The sequence below is a fragment of the Homo sapiens genome, chromosome X (genome assembly GCF_000001405.40).
Source record: "Homo sapiens chromosome X, GRCh38.p14 Primary Assembly".
Classification (NCBI taxonomy): domain Eukaryota; kingdom Metazoa; phylum Chordata; class Mammalia; order Primates; family Hominidae; genus Homo; species Homo sapiens.
In genome coordinates, this window is record NC_000023.11 from 79060264 (window position 1) to 79062401 (window position 2138).

Consider the following 2138-nt stretch of genomic DNA (forward strand, 5'->3'; position numbering starts at 1 on the left):
GATGTTTACTTCCTCCTTTGGGTTTCAGTTACTGTCTTGTGTCCTTCCAATTCAGCCTGAAGGGCTCCATTTGGTATTTTTTGTTGATCAGTGCTGCTATCAATGACTTTTATTAAATTTGATTATTTGACGTCATCTTAAATTTTCCTTTATTAAAGAATAGTTTTCTGAACATGTTATTTTTCTGGTTGTTCTTTATTTTGTTTCTTACCAATCAATATATTCTCCATTCAATTTCATGGTATGCATTCCTAGAAAGCTTGTTTTTTCAAAAGTGGGTAAAAATAATAATTCAATTTCTCCTGAAATGTTAGATTGTAGTTAAAACTGAATTTTGGGTTTTTAAAATTTTTCTGATTTGTTTCAAATTATTTTCATTGATATATAATCTTTATACATGTTTGGGGTACTTTGTAATATTTTATTCATAACATATATTAGCTATGCCTGCTTTGGGGATATTTTGTAGGATATATGTGATAGTATGTTGTATGAATATAATATACCTAATAAAGGTAATTTGGACATCCATAACCTCAAACATTTATCTTCTCCTTTTTTTGAGAACATTCCAATTCTTCTTTGCTAGTTGTTTTTAAACACATAGCATATTATTTTTAACTATAGTCATCCTAATGTGCTATCAAACACTAGATCTTATTTATTTTATATAATAGTATTTTGGTACACGTTAAGCAGGCTATCTATTTCTCCTTCACTTCTGCCCTTCACAGCCTCTGATAATCACCAATCAATCCTCTACTTTCATGAGATCCACTTTTTAATCCCCCACATACAAGTGAGGACATGTGATGACTGTCTTTTGACCTCCATTTCCATCAGTGTTTATGCAAAGGACAGGACTTCATTCCTTTTTGTGCCTAAATATTTCATTTTTATATGTGTCACATTTTCTTAATCCATTAATTTGTTGATGAACACTTAGGTTGCTTCCACATCTATGATATTGAGGATAGCACTACAATAAACCTGAAGGTGCAAGCCTCTCTATGATGTATTAATTTTCCTTCCTTTGAATAAATACCTAGTAGTGAGATTGCTGGATCATATGGTAGTACCATCTTTTTTTTTTTTTTTTTTTTTTTTTTTTTTCAGAAACCTCCATCCTCTTCTCCATGGTGCTTGTACTAATTTATATTCCCAACAACAGTGTAAAAGCATTCCCTTCTCTCCACAACCTCACCAGCATTCTTTATTGTCTTTTATTTTTATTTTTTGGATAAAAGCCATTTTTGCTTGGGTGAGATAATATCTCATTGTAATTTTGACTCAGATTTTTCTGATAATCGGTAATATTGAGTATCTTTTCATATGCTTGTTTGCCATTTGTATGTCACCTTTTGAGAAATGTCTAGTAAGATATTTTGCCCATTTCTAAATCAGATTGTTAGAATTTTTTCCTATTGAGTTGCTTGAATTCTTTACATATTTTCGTTATTAATCCTTTGTTGAATGAATAGCTTGAAAATATTTTCTTCTATTCTTTAGGTTGTATCTTCATTTTGTTAGTGGCTTTCTTTGCCATGTGGAAGCATTTAGGTTTGGTGTAATTTTGTCTGTTTCTTCTTTGTCACATATGTTTTTGAGGTCTTACTCAAAACATCTTTGCCCAGACCAATGTTCTCAAGAGTGTCCCCAAACATTTTTCTTCTTGTAGTTTTATACTTTCAAGTATCAAATTTAAGTCTTTATTTTTGATTTGATGTTTGTATTTGGTGGGAGATGGGGGGTCATCATTCTTCTGCACATGGTTATTCAGTTTTCCCAGTACCATTTATTGAAGAGACTGTTCTTTCCTCAGTATATGTTCTTGGCATTTTTGTCAAAAATGAGTTGACCATGAATGTGTGGATTTATTGCTAAGGCCTCTATTCTGTTCCATTTGTCTATGTGGGTTTTTATGCCAGTACCATGCTGCTTTGGTTACTATGGCTTTGGAGAATGTGTGTGATGTCTCCAGCTTTGTACTGTTTCTCCTCAGCATTTTTATTTGGTATTTTGGATTTTCTGTGGTTTCATACAAATTTTAGGATGTTTTCCCTATATCTGTGAAGAATGTCATTTATATTCTGACAGATACTACATTAAGTCTGTAGATTGTTTTGGGTGTTTGATAT